General features: G+C 35.9%; 1 protein-coding gene across 7 annotated transcripts in view; it reads right to left on the bottom strand.

The window, feature by feature from the left end:
* DAZ2 (deleted in azoospermia 2) overlaps positions 6,793–17,144 on the bottom strand; it is a 71,900-nt gene continuing 61,548 nt past the window's right edge. For all 7 annotated transcript variants that reach the window (NM_020363.3, NM_001005785.2, NM_001005786.2 and 4 more), the window contains 2 exons: positions 12,613–12,711; positions 6,793–8,649 (listed from right to left, as the gene is read on the bottom strand). In NM_020363.3, the coding sequence (NP_065096.2) occupies positions 12,648–12,711 (64 nt within the window). In that variant the 3' untranslated portion in view covers positions 6,793–8,649; positions 12,613–12,647. The remainder of the gene's footprint in view (positions 8,650–12,612; positions 12,712–17,144) is intronic.

Below are 17,144 nucleotides of genomic sequence, written 5' to 3'. Positions count from 1 at the left end.
TTAAATAAATAATAGCAATTCTTCTCAAACCCTTCCAGAAAGTTGAAGAGAATTCTTCAAAGTTCATTATTTGAGGTCAGCATTACTCTGATACCAAATCCAGACAAGGACACAACAAAAAAAGAAAACTATAGACCAGTATCTCTGATTAACAGAAACGCAAAAAACCTCAACCAAATACTAAGAAACTGAAACCAACAGCACATTAAAAAGATCATTCCCCATGACCAAGTGGGATTTATCCCAGGGATGCAAGGGATTCATCCCAGTAGAGCAGATATACAAGGGAGAAAGGAAAAACAATCAAACTTTATCACTACAGGAAAATACTAAACTGCAATGATAAACAATAAGAAAGAAATCAACAAAGGTTATAGAAACCAACCAGAAAATAATTAACAAAATGACAGGATGTTTCCACATATGCAAACCAACTTAAATATGATACATCGCATTGACAGAGTGAAGAACAAAAACCATGTGATCATCTCAATAGATGCAGAAAAAACATTTGATAAAATTCAACAGGGCTTCATGATAAAAACTCTCCACAAGTCAGACGTAAAAGGAATATATCTGAACACAATAAAGGCCATATATAATAAACCCACAACCAACATCATACTGAACAGGGAAAAATTCAAAGGATTTCCTCTAACATACGGAAGAGACAAAAATATCCACTTCACAACTTTTATTCAGCATAGTACCAGAAGTTCTAGCCACAGCAATTAGGCAAGGGAAAAAAAAGAGCATCCAGATTGGAAAGGAAGAAGTCAAATTGTCCCTGTTTGCAGATATAAAACCTTTAAAACTCCACCAAAAAACTTTCAGTAGTCATAAATGAATTCAGTAAATTTGTTTGCAGACACAAAACCCTTAAAACTCCACCAAAAAAACTTTCAGAAGTGATAAGTGAATTCAGTAAATTTGCAGTACACAAAATTAATATACAAAAACCACTAGACTTTCTGTGTACCAACAAGCAGCCAGCAGGAAAAAATAATCAAGAAAGCAATCCCGTTTATAATAGGTATAAAAAATAAAATAAAGTATCTAGGAATAAGTTTAACCAATGAGATAAAAACCTCTACAAGGAAAACTATTAAAAAACTTACAAAATAAATTAAAGATTACACAAAAAAGTAGAAAGACACCCCAACCCCATGTTCACAGGTTGGAAGAATTAATATTGTTAAAATAACCAATTCTGCCAAAAGTGATCTACAGATTTCATGCAATCCCCGTGAAAATGCCAAATACTTCTTCATAGAAATTAGAAAAAAAAATCATAAAATTCTATGGAACCACAAAAGACTCCAAGTAGCGAAAGCAATACTGAGTCAAAAGAATAAAGCTGAAGGCATCACGCTAGCGAATTTCAAAATGTACTGCAAAACTGTAGTAGTAACAAAAACAGCATGGCATGTTGAAGAGATCTCTGCACTCTCACGTTTATTGCAGTACTGTTCACAATATCCAAGATTTGGAACCAGCCTAAGTATCCGTCAACAGATGAATGCATAAAGAAAATGTGGTACATCTACACAATGGAGTACTATTGAGCCGTTAAAAAGGATGAGGTCCGGTCATTTGCAGCAACACGGATGGAACCAAGGACATTATTTTAAGTGAAATAAACCAGGCACAGAAAGACAAATGTCTTTATTCTCACTCATATGTGGGAGCCAAAATAATTGATCTCATGGAGGTAAAGTGTAGAACAGTAGTTAACAGAGGCTATAGAGAGTGAGTGTTGGGGTTGGGGGACGGGAATTAAGGGAGGTTGTTTACTGGATACAAAAATACAGTTAGAAGGAATAAGTTCTAGTGTTTGACAGCACAGGAGGGTGACTATAGTTAACAATAATTTATTGTGTAGTTCCAAATAGGTAGAAAATGCTCCCCACACAAAGAAATGATAAATGTTTGAGGTGATGGATATCCCAGTTACCCTGTTTTGATCACCACACATTGCATGGAAGCATGAAATTGTCACAGATATCCCATAAATGTGTATAATTATTATGTATTAGTAAAAATATTTCTGTATTTTGATTTGGAGAGTCTGCTATCTATGAGATAGTATAAAAAGCAATGGCCCAGATGTCAAGTCTCAGTTTCTTATTTATCTGAATCCCAGGGTGTGTAAATTTAAGAAAATCACACCTAAAACCTAGACATGTCTAGCACTTCAAAGGAGTTGACGAAGACCAAACGAAATCATATATACGAAGTAGCTCTGAAAACCCTAAAATCCTATACAAATTTCAGGGAGTATGCATGTGATGAGAAGAATGGGATATGAAATCCTGCCTGCCACCTCCAGCATTTCATGAAGGAAAAACAGAAATTGTGCTTAGGGAATGCTGGCCTATGTACCATTATTTCACTCATTTGTTAGTGTTCTACTCATTCAAGGCCCTCTCAGAAAAAAGGGAACTATTCTAGAAAATATCCTGAAGAGCCTAGCATAATGAGCTGTTTCCTACTACCAAAGAAGATACGCAAAAGACTACATTTCAGGACACAGTCATTCACCAAACCATGGCTGCTCTATACACAGACCACGTGGGAAGTTCTAGTTACTGAAATGTAAAGGCTGCAGAAAACTTAGGTGGGTTTGAGTGGGATGCAGGTGGGTAGATCTGTGGATGGGAAGCTAACCACATTGATGTGTTGCCCCAAATAATCTCATAGTAACACTATAAAGTAGATACTAGTATTGTTGTTTTACAGAGGAGGAAACCAAGACTCAGTGAGAAGCTCGTCCAAGCTTACTCAGGAAGTATTTGGGGCTGGGATTTAAAGTTCACTCTTTTTTATGACATTCTAGTACCTAAGTGATCAGAGGCATTTAACAATGTTCGTAGGAGCATAGTTTGTAACAGCAATCAACGAATCAACACAATTTACATTTAAAATTTTAAAACAAAAAATAAAAGTCAATTGTCCCCCAGCAAGGGAAATAACAAACCGTAAAATATTCAACTGATACAACTAAAAAGCAGTGAAAATAAATAGAATCTCCCAGTCAACACGGATGAGTCTAACAATGTGCCAAAAAAAAAAAAAAAAAAAAAATAGTTTCAGTATATGTTCTCTTAAAGTTCAAAATATTGTGAAAAGAAACATTTTATTCAGCAGATGATTAAACCAAAATTCAATTTAGGTGGTTTCTTCTTCTTGGGGAGGAAGAGGGTGTGATCAGGGAGGGCATATTTTTTAATTAATGAAATGTTCTATTTCTCAAGCCAACTTGGGTATTTATTATTCTTTAAATAAATATTTTTATACTTTTGAGTGAACTAAATGTGAAATTTTAAAACACAGACATATACAAAAAGAATATGGATATCAAATGCCTAAGGCTGTCTCTGGAACTTGATCTCAACATATTTTTTTGATATTGATCTGTTATTATCATTCTTGCTTAAAGGTGTTAAGAGGTATTAGTTAATTCCACAGCAGGAAAAGGAGCAATGACAGGCCATACTTTTCTAAAAACCATGGGTAATACTATTTGTAAAGTGTGTCAAGTGAGTCAAAGGCATAGTTCTTCACTCCAGGAGGCAAACACAGTGTCTCTGTCCCCAGGATATCCACTCTGCCCTTTCCCACTCGAGCCTAGTCCCTCACCCTTGGCTTGCCTGCTCTTGGCCTTGGAATCCAGCTTTGCCTCTGTAGTCACTCCCTCCTGTCACTGATTTCTGGCCACAAGTCTTGGTTTTCAAACTTTCTATTCAATCTATTTCAGCCCATTCATGAGTCACTCTTGCCTGTGGACAGCTGGCATTCCCAGGCACGGGCTTGGCAGGGAAAGATGAATTCGGTGAATTAAGCCAACGGAATCCTTTATGAAAGTCATAGTTGACCTGACAGGGCTGTTTCTATCCTAAATCCAGGGGTAGCTTGAGATGATCTAATGAGAGCTCCCCAGCTGAGGCCATATTTCTCAAAGTATGTTACGGTGGTCAGAATCACCTGGGGCACATGTTAAAAATGCAGATTACTGGGCCCATCCAGAGCATTAGAATAAGAGCATCTGAGAATGGGGCCCAGGATTTGGCTTCTGAAAAACACCCCTTATGATAGCTCTGATGCTCTTTGACTTCCCTGTAAAATTGGTATCTTGAGGAAACGTGCCCTATCGAATACTGCGCTGATCTAAACATGGACACAACTTTGGATGGTGAGCATATCGGTTTGTCAAAGACCCATCACCAACCAAAATGATGAGCAACAACCAAGTCATGTTCAGGAAAAAAAAAAAAAAAAAAAGTGCAGGTCACGCTTTCCTCAATATAGTGGGTTTACTGCTTAAACACTGTTCAGATTTTACTCACAGTGAAGCTGCTCCAACACCAGGTAGGGGATCAGCATAGGTAAAAACAAGGAGAAAAATGTCCTCTGCCTTTTAAATTACCTCTCTCCATTCTTATGGGCCTAGTCAGATTTATGGAGGGTGTGAAGGAGGCGGGAAGAGTCCTATCAAAATTTTTAAACAAATGTACAAGGGCAGAGGGGACACGTCCACTTAAACAGCTGGCCTGGCTGTATCATTATCAACTGCCTTTCTTCTGGAGTTTCATCTAAGATTGAGCCAGAATGGAGTGTGTCTCTATCCATGTTATTTTGGGCAAAGACAATAGATGTGATTAGAACCTTAGTGTATTTTTGTTATTCTATAAAAAGATCTGATTGAGGGTTATGAAACCTCCAATTTTCCAAAGTGCTTAAAATGTTACTATTGCTTCAAATTTATAAGGAGTGTTCATGACCTGAATATCCCAGTCATGCAAGTATTTGTTCTATTGTTAAAGACCTAGTGAACCGGTATCTTGAAGTTTCATGTGGAAAAGACCTAGTGAACCGGCATCTTGAAGTTTCATGTGGAATTCCTGGCATGCAGCATTAATGAAGGTGCACGTAAGATACAAAGCCTTGTCTTGGGAAAACGAACTACAGACTTAACTAGAGAACTGTTTCAGACCAGTTAAAAACGTAAAATACAGCGACCATAGAGTTTAATTGTACAGTGGTAGAGTGGTAGTTTCAACTTCTGTACCAAGAGACAATTTTTTTTTTTTTTTTTTTTTTGCGTTTACTTAGGATTGGCCCACAGCTACATCCATACTGGACAGATGTTTTTAACTCTAAATGCAATGTTGAATTGTCTATTATTTCTTTGCTATGCAGATTATCTTGCATGAGCATTCAAAAACATGTTTATAGTTTGAACTTCTTATGTCTATTGTTTTCTACTACAAAATGTACTGTCTACAGATGGAAAGTTCTGTCTTTGGTGAGTGGCAAGGAATTGCTCACAACAATCAGTTACATACAGAGACATACTACACATGTTGGGAAGGGATAGATTACACTTATCAAAATATGTACAGGAGCAATCCTTATCTAGGGATTCCAAATGATCATACTCAATAGCTGGCCCATTCACAAGACTTGGTCAATGTAAAATACTGCTACTTTTTTCTCCCTTATGTTTCCCCACTTTCTCTATTGGCATCTTTGTGAAAGCAAGGTGGCACGCTGCCTTATCGTTGCTGCTCCTCATTACCCTCAACTGACAGCAAGGAAAGCAGGCAAGGCGATTAAGCAATGTGGCAGCCCATTTTTATCAGTTTACCTTTAAAAAAAAGCCAAGAAAAATTTAGTGAAGAGGGGGCTAGAGGTGCTTTATAACGAGAGGGAAATGCTGTGGAGTATTTATTTTTAAGAGTCAATGACTTCCTTGCCAGACAGGTACTACCAATTCTGAAGTTATTTTGAATTAAAGGTAATCTGATTTTAGAAAAAGAAAAAAACCAACATGCAGAATACACTTAAGGAGGTGACCAACCTTTTTAGAGCTGCTTGATTTCACCATAACTTGAACTTTTTACAAAAAAGTGCTTAACTGTTATTTTTCAATTCCAAAGATTTTTGTGGTAATAATTTAATAGGAAACTAGAAACAAGCTGGTGTAAAGCAACTATCTTAAACCATATGTAGTCTAGTTTTGGGGTCTGAAAATACTGAAAACCTACTAGCTTGATCAGCTAGAACCAAATATTCTGGATAATCGTTAGTATGTACATAACCATAAATATATGCATATATAGACACATATGTACACATATATACACATAGGCACATAAAAGAATTACTAATTTTTTGCCTATTATTGGACACTAAACATCACAATTTAATCTTTGGTGATGCAGAAAGCACTGTTTGCTATCCTGCGTATCCTTGGAGTCAACTTTCTGGTTATGAATCAGCAAGCTTACTAACTAATGAAATACAGGAGTGTCTGAGGAGTTTCCTCTCCACTGGACTCAGCTTATAGAACTGAGTACTAACACTAAAGCTAGAAGAAGCGGTACTGATTTTTTTTTTTTATGGTATCCACAGGAAGTACCTGCAATATAAAAAAATTAAGCTCCCTTAGGCAACTGCAATACCCCGAAATAAATGATCTAGAGACTAGGCCCAAAGTGTACAGTAGACAAAATGCTTCATAGGGTCCAAAATGTGAGGGACCTTAGCCGTGAGATAGCAGAGTCGGATGTGTTCATCAGCATTCCTAGTCTGCACTGCTGTTGATGCACCTCTTAAACTTATCTTTGTACCTACATTTGCTTTTATGGGCTAACTCAGACAGATTAGTATACTGAACTTTATACTTCTGCATTTTAAGAATCTAAAGCTTGTTATACGAATTTAAACCTTGTTACACAGTTCCCACGCAACTCCCCACCATTTTACATTATTACATCGGAAAGCCAAAAACACATTTGAAGAAAAAAAGTTTATTTTTATTCATTTATGCAAAGACAGTATCAGCAATAGGTAGTAGGAACATTTTTCTCAGTTTAGAATTAATTTTCCATTTTGAAAGGGACTTAATATCTTCTTTACCTTACTCTATTAAATACTTCAACAAAGACAAAAATTTATTCCTTTACTTTTCCTTAAGGTCATATCGGAATAATTAGAATTAACTCTTTAGAATGTAGGTATCATTTACAGAAATCTGGAGATTTAATCACAGAATGATGTATGTCGGAATGTTAAAAGCACTAAAAAAACTATGGATAATTTTTTAATGGACAAAGTCATGGTGCTTTCAATTTCTGAGGTGTAATAAAGCCTTCTTGGGAATTCTAAAGTTTAAAGACTGTATCCTTCGGATTCCGAATGAAAATTTTGAGAAATCATAGACCCCAGTGGGCATTAGTAATATGGCCCATAGTAACGACATTAACTTAGAGTCTCCACGTTTTAGGGAAGAAGCCATTGAAAGAAGGGCCAGAAAGCCACTTTAAACACATGTCCATGGCAGATCAAATGATACTGATACAAATGTTTCCCTTAGAAAGGTATTATATCCCATTGCTACCATTCCACGGCTTGGCCTTTGAACTGCTCATACAGCTACTTCCATTCTTTACATCACCAGTTCTAAGAGCAAACCTCCTGAAAGACTAGTAAAAGAGGCTGGGAAAACAAGACTGTGAGTATAGCAAAAGGGCTCTGGTGCTCTAGCTGTGTGGTCACAATATAAAATGAGGACACTACCTAATCTAGAAACAACATGCCTCTTCTGGACATATTTTATTTTACAGAAGGAAATATAACAGGCTAAAAAACAAAAATAAAAATCTATTTATAGCAAGTAACTAATACTTCAATGTTTTTATAAAAACAATTCCTTTCAGATACTCCGATTAACCTTTGAGTGACATAAAAAAGCTGCAGCGTTCTTTAATACCAGTATTTTGCAAATTTCACATACAGCCATTAAGTTTAGCATTTCAAGGAACAATTTTTTTTATAAAAAAGAATGGTAACTCATTGAGAAGGTTATATACCCAGTAAAGTTTAGTTTGTCTTGGATTCTTTAAAAAATTAGGCCCAGAATTTTAGTTATCCTAACTACTATCCCAATCAAATTGGACATACATATGTGGATTCTAGATAAAAGATAAAATACTTTGAATAAACATTATGACTCACTGATTGGACTGTTTGCTTAGAATCTGTTTTACTGGGTTTGGATAAGACTTCAATAAAGCTAACTATACATTGAGTTCCACTGATTAAAAATGCAGTTTTAAAAATTCTGCTTTTGAGGTAAATTTCTAGATAAATCATAAATGCAAAGCTCAATACTGAAATATTGTACTGTTCACAGGTACTTCTTGGAGAAGTGAAATGCTTGTGTTCAGACTATCAAAATTGTTAGCTTTCAAATCAGGTTTTAAAAACTTTTTTGAAAGTCAGTATTTGCTTTTAAACACTTAAAATGCAAGTTTCAATTTTTTAAAAATCCTTGCAGATAAATCTTAACATTCTTTCAGTCTCGATTATTTGTTACTTTAAACTATATATTAAACACAGAACCAGGTTCTAAATAAACATCTAATGAAGAACAGTTTCAGTGTTAAGATAAAACTAGAGAGTCTAATAATACAAGTTATACAGAAAGTTTCAGTGTGATTTACCAAAATTCAGAATTTCTGTAATAGTGGAAAACTTTTAGCTTAATATTCAAAACCAGCAACTTCCCATGAAACTAGATAGCTGAGAGGATCCAACAGATTTAAATACTGCCAAACTTCTTCTAAAGCGATGCACTCTTTTACCCTGGAAAAGACAGAAATAGTCCTTTTATTTTACTGAAAATTTCTGATGACTACTATGGATCTGAAAGTTGTCAAAACTTAAACCATTTGTTTTGGGTTTAAACATTATAAATAATGAGAAAAAAAGATGATTCTTTTCAGGAAGCATATTTGAACACTGGGATAACAAATGTACCAAGATGGCTAGTTTTATTAAACAGTTAAAAAAAGAAATCAATAATTAAATAAAACAAATTCCAGTAAACTGAGAAATAAAAGGACTTAAACTCAGTATCATTTTATGTACTTCTTAGTTAATAATTTTGCAGTAATGTCCCAAAGACAGCTGGTAGAAAATGTAATTGTAAAGAATACTTTTTTCACTAATTGAACTGCATTTAATACCAACTACAGCTTGCGAACTGCTCTCCAATCTGAAATTTCGTGTTTTTAGATTAAAATATGTAAGTTTTGGCATTTGAAGAACATATCATTAACCTGTGAAGACATATCATTCTTTAGAAAGGAAGATAAAACTTTAAAATACATGCAAAACTTTCTTTTCACTCTATGTTGCCTGCAGACGTGCAGAGAGAAGTGAGAGGTCTTACAAGGAGGAATGGGAATGAGTGAACGAGTAATAACATTTCCTTTTCTACAAAGCTGTGCCCTTTTTTTAAGACTTCAGTTTCATTTTCATATAAATAAAAGTGGCTTCTGGAAGTTACCTCATCTGTCAAAAGAGTGATAATCAATTTAGGTTAAAATCTAGAAAACTGGTCACCAACATGTATATTCAGAGGTCATGTAGGAAACAAGATTGTGAAAGGGCTAGATAACTAAGACAATGAAGAGAAATCGGCTATGGAAATTGTAAATACATTCAAAAATATCTCAGGCATTCTAATTCAATATAACAACGTGCAGTCAATTAAAATAGGTCTAAATGTCAGACAACTGCAGGATGCCAACTTCTGATTCCTCTCCCAAATAAGCAGAAAACTCTGGAAGTTTCAAAGCGAGTCTTTTGTCTACCACCAGGTGAGAACTCAAGTTTAAAAAAATATTTTCTGGGCTGGACATGGTGGCATACGCCTGTAATCCCAGCACTTTGGGAGGCTGAGGCAGGAGGATCACTTGAGCCCAGGAGTTCAAGACGAGCCAGGGCAATATAGTAAGATTCTCTCTTAAAAAAAAATCTTTTGGCTGGGCACGGTGGCTCACACCTGTAATCCCAGCAATTTGGGAGGCCGAGGCGGGCAGATCACAAGGTCAGGAGATCGAGACCATCCTGGCTAACACGATGAAACCCCATCTCTACTAAAAACACAAAAAATTAGCTGGGCGTGGTGGCAGGCACCTGTAGTCCCAGCCACTCGGGAGGCTGAGGCAGGAGAATGGCATGAACCTGGGAGGCAGAACTTGCAGTGAGCCAAGATCGCACCACTGCACTCCAACCTGGGTGACACAGTGGGACTCTGTCTCAAAAAAAAAAAAAAAAAATTTCTTTTTAACTAGCTAAGTGTGGTGGTGCACGTCTGTCGTCCTATTTGGGACGCTGAGGCAGAAGGATCCCTTGAGTGCAGGAGTTTGAGGTTGTAGTAAGCTGTGATTGCGACACTGCACTCCAGCCTGGATGACCAAATGAGGTCACCTCAAAAAAAAAAAAAAGAAAGAAAGAAAGAAACACAAAAAACTATCTTCTGCTTTGAAAATCACTTAAGTACTACTGTAGACACCAATGTAATCAGAATTTTCGGCAAGATAAGCTGATGTACAATTCCAGTTCTTTCTTTTCTAAATTGTACTATCTATATAGAACGAAGCAACAAGAGAACAAATGTCAAATTTAAATATATTTACTCCATGTTGCAAAGATGTTAAGAACTTAATTCTGCTATCTGGCTCTACTCTTCTACATTATACAGAAGATTCATAATATAACCCTTTAAAAAGGCTTAGGCTTCATCCCATATCCATTCACAGACAAAAATAAGCTAGTTCTGTTGTAAGACACAAAGTGATGGTTAAACATTTTCTTTTGAATGTAAAGTGTGTAGCCAGTTTTGACAAATCTGGCAGTTCCACTAAAGGTTAAATATGACTTAGCAATTCCATTCCCAAGTATATACGCAAGAGAGGTAAGCACGTATGTCCCCACAGTAACTTGTACATGAATGTTCACAGCATTAGTTATAACAGCTAAAAAGTGGAAATAATCCAAATGTCTTTAACAGATGAATGCATAAACAGAATAAGGTAATATCTACAAATAAAAAGAAATGATTAAGTTCTGATACGTGCTAGAATATTGATGAACCTTACAAACATTATGCTGAGTGAAAAAATCCAGTCACAAAATGCCACATCATTATGTATGATTCCATATACAAGAAATCTCCAGGACAGGAAAATCCTTAGAGGAAAAAAGTAAATTAGTGTTTGCCTAGGGATACACACAAGTTCCAGGAAAATAGCAGGTGACTGCTAAGGTACGGGGGTGATTTTTGAGGTGATTTAAATATTCTAAAATTGATTGTGGACATGGTTGCACAACTTTGAATATATGAAAAAACAGTGAAGTGCACATTTTAAATACATAAATTGTATTACTGGTATTATTTTAATAAAATTGTTATTTAAAAAACACCTTCCCTTTATTAACCATAATATTTTTCTCCCACCGGACTGACCAAGTTAGTTCTTTTTCGTATTTATAGACTTAGAACCACAGGGACCCAGAAACCTTTAGTCCTGTACCTTCTCATTTTAGACTTGTAAGAATTAGAGCCTTAATAAAAGATTTATCTATCCAACATGGATAGAAAGTGGGATCAGAAGTCAGATCTTTCTGGAATTCAACTAGCCACATTCTCTTCCGCTTCACCAACTCTGAATCAACCTCTCTTTCTACTCAACTTTTTACTGCTTCATTTTACCCCTTTTCTCCCTTCACACTGTTCAGGTGTATCATCTGAGTAAATCATTTCTTTTCTTCTCTTTAGTCCAATATGCATGTATTAAGTTCTACTTTTTTTTTTTTTTTTTTTTTTTTTTGAGACAAGGTCTCTCACTCTGTTGCCCAGGCTGGACTACAACGGCACAATCATGGCTCAGTGCAGCCTCAACTTCCCAGGCTCAAGCGATCCTCCTGCCTCAGACTCCTCTGGAGTAGTTGGCACTACAGGCATGTACCATCACAACTGGCTGATTTTTGTATTTTTTTGTAGAGATGGTGTTTTGCCTTGTTACCCAGGGTGGCCTCGAACTCCTGAGCTCAAGCAATCCACCCACCTCAGCCCCCCAAAGTGTTGGGATTACAGGCGTGAGCCTCTGCACCCAGCCAAGATCTCCTTTCTGTATCTAAAATTTTATTTTACTATTTGGTCAAGGTAGTCAACTAACTCTCTTCTCTAGTAAACCCTTTCAATTACAAATTTCTGCTGCAGGATTCTTCCCTAAATTTGACTACATTATATCAAGGCTCGGCAGCAGAAAATATACTGCCAGGTAAAACCCACACTGGTTTACTGGGTTACAGTCAAATGCCAACAGTTCAATTAAATGTTCTAGGCCGGGCACGGTGGCTCATGCCTGTAATCCCAGCACTTTGGGAGGCTGAGGCAGGTGGATCACGAGGTCAGGAGATCGAGACCATCCTGGCTAACACGGTGAAACCCCGTCTCTACTAAAAATACAAAAAATTAGCTGGGCGTGGTGGTGGGCGCCTGTAGTCCCAGCTACTCGGAAGGCTGAGGCAGGAGAATGGCGTTAAGTAAACCTGGGAGGTGGAGCTTGCAGTGAGCCTAGATGGGGCCACTCACTGCACTCCAGCCTGGGCGACAGAGGAGACTCCGTCTCAAAACAAAAAAAAAAGAAAAAAAATTCCTCTAAGAAAGCCCAAAATACATGTGCCACAAGGAAAACAGCTAACTTGAGAGGGAACAAGTGTGCTTTTTAATTATGCATGCCATTCCTTTCATACCTTGAAGCAGTCATCTTGAGTAACAACGGAATTTATCAGTCTCTTCTCTGGATTAAACAGACAAGATACCACCATTTGTATGCTTCGGTCCACAGATTTCTGAAACACAGAAGTTTTCAGTAATGTAAAGACAACTCTTTCTTTCACTCACTCTTAATAAGGGTGTGTTTTGGTTTTTCTTTTGATGGTTTAATGAACATATCAGTTTATTTCCAAAGAAATGCAAAAATGCTAAAAGAGGCTGGGAGCAGTGGCTCACACCTCTAATCCCAGCACTTTGGGAGGCCGAGGAGGACGCATCACCTGATATCAGGAGTTCAAGACTATCCTGGCCAACATGGCGAAACCCCTTCTCCACTAAAAAATACAAAAATTAGCTGGGTGACGGGTGCCTGTAATTCCACCTATTGGGGAGGCTGAGGCAGGGAGAATTACTGGAACCTAGGAGACAGAAGTTGCAGTGAGCCGAGATCACACCACTGCACTTCCAGCCTGGGCGACACCGCAAGACCCTGTCTCAAAAAAAAAAAGAAATTCATAAAAATGTGATTCATAATTCCTGCCACATATCCTCAGTATGTACGTTTTCTGACAAATCGAAGAATTATTTTAGAACCTTAGCGATAGAATACTGGTTTAAAAAGCTGAATTTGTTAAATCCCTAAGTGAATTCCAATGTTTCAAGAAAACATACTCAGAACAAAACCAGACAATTATACTGTAAGAGTTATGTTTTCATATTTATTCACATTTTAAAATCCAATATCAAATCAAGGAATTTACACTGCAATGGGACTTCTTGGGTATTATACATATTACCAGCACATCAACTACTTCCACACGCCCACCTATCTAACAGAACATATGTGACGCCAGGAGTGACAGTACTGTTATTACAGAAATTTGCACTAATGATAAAAAAAAGAAACAACCCTGTCTATTTCAGTGTTTGAATAATTACTACTGACTTCACCACTGTTGGAAACTTCTGCCACATATAATGTTATGGAGAGAATGCTTATTTAAATGGTATTTTTCACTGCTTAAGATCAAAACTGTTGTAAAAGAAAAGGGACATACAATTCGTACTAATTCTTCTTTTGAGTAGAATTCTAGAGGAAACCCTCCCATAGCATTCTGCCAAATCATATTAATACAGTATTTATTAAAGAATGGCTTTTTAAAATTAGTGAAACTGAAATACAGGAAAGGACTTGCTGAATCAGAAACTTTAGGTATATACTGAAAATTTGGGGTATCTGAAATTTCAACAACCTTTACATTAACTGCTGACTATCAGTCCATTATTTAAGCTCCATGATTTATGGCTAACATTTTTAAATTTGGGCAAAAATGTTTGCTTCTCAAAAAAAGTCATTCAAATTAGAAAAAAAATATGAAATATATATTGTAAAAAAAATTCAAAATTAGATGTTTGCCTTTTGTGGGCCATTTCCAGAGGGTGGGGTAGCTTCATGAATTGAGCATTCATTTAGCACAACATCACCTCCTGTATCAACTTCACTACAGTGACAGTTAAGAGCTGAATAAGCCTATATTTAAAATAATGAAAGTGTAATTAAACAGATAATACAGATACGTTTAAAAGCTACTTATTTATTCCTCAAAAAGGTGAGCTGGTATCAAAAGTTTCAATGTAGGTTGTGTTGAAATTCAATTGTGTTACTTCAGAAACCTTGTTTTAAACGAAAAGTTGAAATGCATTAAGGCAGCCTTTTGTTTTAAAACGTCTTCCAGGTATCAACATAATCAGAGGTAGAAGGATTCTAAGAAACAAATGTAGTTAAGGGAGTGTTTGAGAATTTTAACACTTACTATATCCTTCAAATATCCAATCGTGATGTAAGACAGCAACTCTGTTGTATTAGAGGTAATACTCTTGTTTTATTCCTATTCCTCTTTAAGAGTAATTAATAGCAAAACATTTCGGTTTCTCCTCAACAAATGTTTTATGGCTAGTAAAGCCAGAGGCATATTCTAGGCAGATACATGCTAATTCTAAAGCCAGTTAATACCGCCATTCCTGGATTATATAATCTATCAACAAGTAACTGAACACTTATCATTATGTGGACCAGCCACTGTTTCAGCACACAAAAATGTGAGAGACAAAAAGGCACTGTTGCTCCCATGGGAGTTTATAATTGGGTTAAAAATAAAGTAACAAAACATAAAACATTAATATAAAGAACCATTTAAAAATATCTACAGGCATATATGGCATAGAAAAAAGTCAAGAAAGATGAGGAAGTATACGTTTCACTAATTCACTTTACTCCATAACCCCTTTTGCTCCCCAACAGGCCACTGCGGTAGCACCTTAAAAAAATAAAAAGAAGGAAACCAAAACTATTAAAATATTCCTACACATTTTCAAAAACTCATGAGATACACAATATTGAAGCACTTATCATGCTGGCTCATTTGTTATTAAAGTGAAAGAAACAGAGTAAAAAAAAAAAAAGAAGTACTTTATGTTTCTAATCCCTGATGTTCTTGTTACTTTTATACATAAAACCTCGCCATTTTCCCAATTTTCTGGAGTTGGCATTGTGGAAATCTCAAGGATACTAGTTTTTTCAATTTATTACTTATCACCATAGATATGATTATGGGTCACAGATGTAGTCATATCTATGAAAAGAGGCCCAGAGAACTACTATCATGAAGCAGCAAGCTTAAAATAAAAATATAATTGGAATTCTGTGCTCTAAGAATGGGATGATAAAAAGATGAAAAAGATGAAAAAATACACGCTGAAATATAGAAGGGGACAACGAATCTCAGAAAACTGTTTTACAGAAAAGTTATTGCTAAGTATATCCCTGTCAAAATGTTAATTCATTACTTCTAAATAATACAGAGGGCTTCATTCTAGACCATTGCAAGTGTTTTCCTAAATTTTAGGTACATTTCACTAGTTTAAAATGACACACTATTTGGGAAATTCATATAAACAAGTTAAAGGCTTCAATAATATCTGAAAACAAATCATTTTACTCCCTCTTCAATTACCTGATAATTACATACAGGCAACTGACACCCAGTGGTGACCTGACCTGGTGAATTTGGATAAGTAGGATATGTCTGAAAGTAAGTTTACAGAAAGAATGAATATGGTAAAACATCTTTTTAAATTAGAAAAAAATATTATTCCCAAAATAAAAAAAATGAAAAACTTTAAAATATTTATTAATTTTCTATATAAAACAATGCAGAATTCTAAATGAATGAATGACTTCAGGAAGAAATAAATATTCTCTGTCAAGTGCTAAGCCCCTTTGGGTGGGGCGGGGGAACACACAAATGACAAAGTAGTGACTATTTCACCAGGCAAAGTTCACCTTACTGACACTGTGTACTTATGCCCACCCAGAAGTTGTTTCTTACACTGCTGGTAAGGCTCCATTAAGACAGATCTCAATGTAAGTTAAGTTAATACATTTGCTATTTCTTTGTCAATATACTTCCAGATAGTTTTGTGTTTGACAATATTACAGGGTAATATGTAGTTCTCCTACAGATGTTATGTTTTTTTTCTGTACTTCATTTCGAAAAACTAAGGGCAGTGTACAATCCAAAACTGGAGAAGGACAGTACGATGTCTTATATGTTTCGATAAATACTTATTGTTTGAAAACATATAGGAAGCAGCATACATGAATACACCCAAATTCAGTAATGGCTCACCGTAAATGTTAGAAACAAGTAGGGCTTTGTCTCTAGCCATTGTTCAGAGAAGAAAAAAGAAGAAGAGGTATATCCTACACATTTCAAGTACACAGAAAATGTCAATAAATGAGAGACACTGAAGAACTATTTCACTACTATTTTGTTACTTTATTTTCCATCAAAGAAAATGTCTTTTAAACTAACACATAAATAAAATGGACTAAGAAGAAAACAGACGTTATTTATCACCAATAAGTGATAGAGTATGTCAAATCCTACTTTAAATATCAAAGTAATCAGGATCAGAGAAATTACATGCCAGAAATTCACAGGATTTATAGGTACAGTAAAATAGGTCAGAAATCTATACATTCCAGACCGAGAATATATCCCGAAGTCAGCAGTTTATATGAGGAGTCAACTGGAAATCATTGCAAGTAAAGAAGAGCTAGATTAATCGCTATCCTTAAAGAATAAACTAGGCAGAAACATTAGAACAGCTGCTTTCAAATGTTTTCAGAACTAGGTATAATGGGGGAAAGAAGTTCAGGTATTTTAGAGGTAATACTCTTTTTTTATTCCTATTCTTATTTAAGAGTAATTAACAGCAAAACATTTCTGTTTCTCTTCAACAAATTTTTTGTGGCTGGTAAAACCAGAGGCAGACCCTACGCAGATACATGCTAATTCTAAAGTGACATTAATACTATCTTTCTTAGATTACACAGTCTATCAACAAGTAACTGAACACTTATTATGTGGACCAGCCACTCCTTAAGCACACAAAAACCTGAGAGAGAAAAAGGCACTGTTGCACCCATGGGAGATTGTAACTGGGT

The sequence above is a fragment of the Homo sapiens genome, chromosome Y, assembly GCF_000001405.40.
Source record: "Homo sapiens chromosome Y, GRCh38.p14 Primary Assembly".
In the NCBI taxonomy this organism is placed as follows: domain Eukaryota; kingdom Metazoa; phylum Chordata; class Mammalia; order Primates; family Hominidae; genus Homo; species Homo sapiens.
This window is presented reverse-complemented; position numbering and strand designations above follow the sequence as displayed.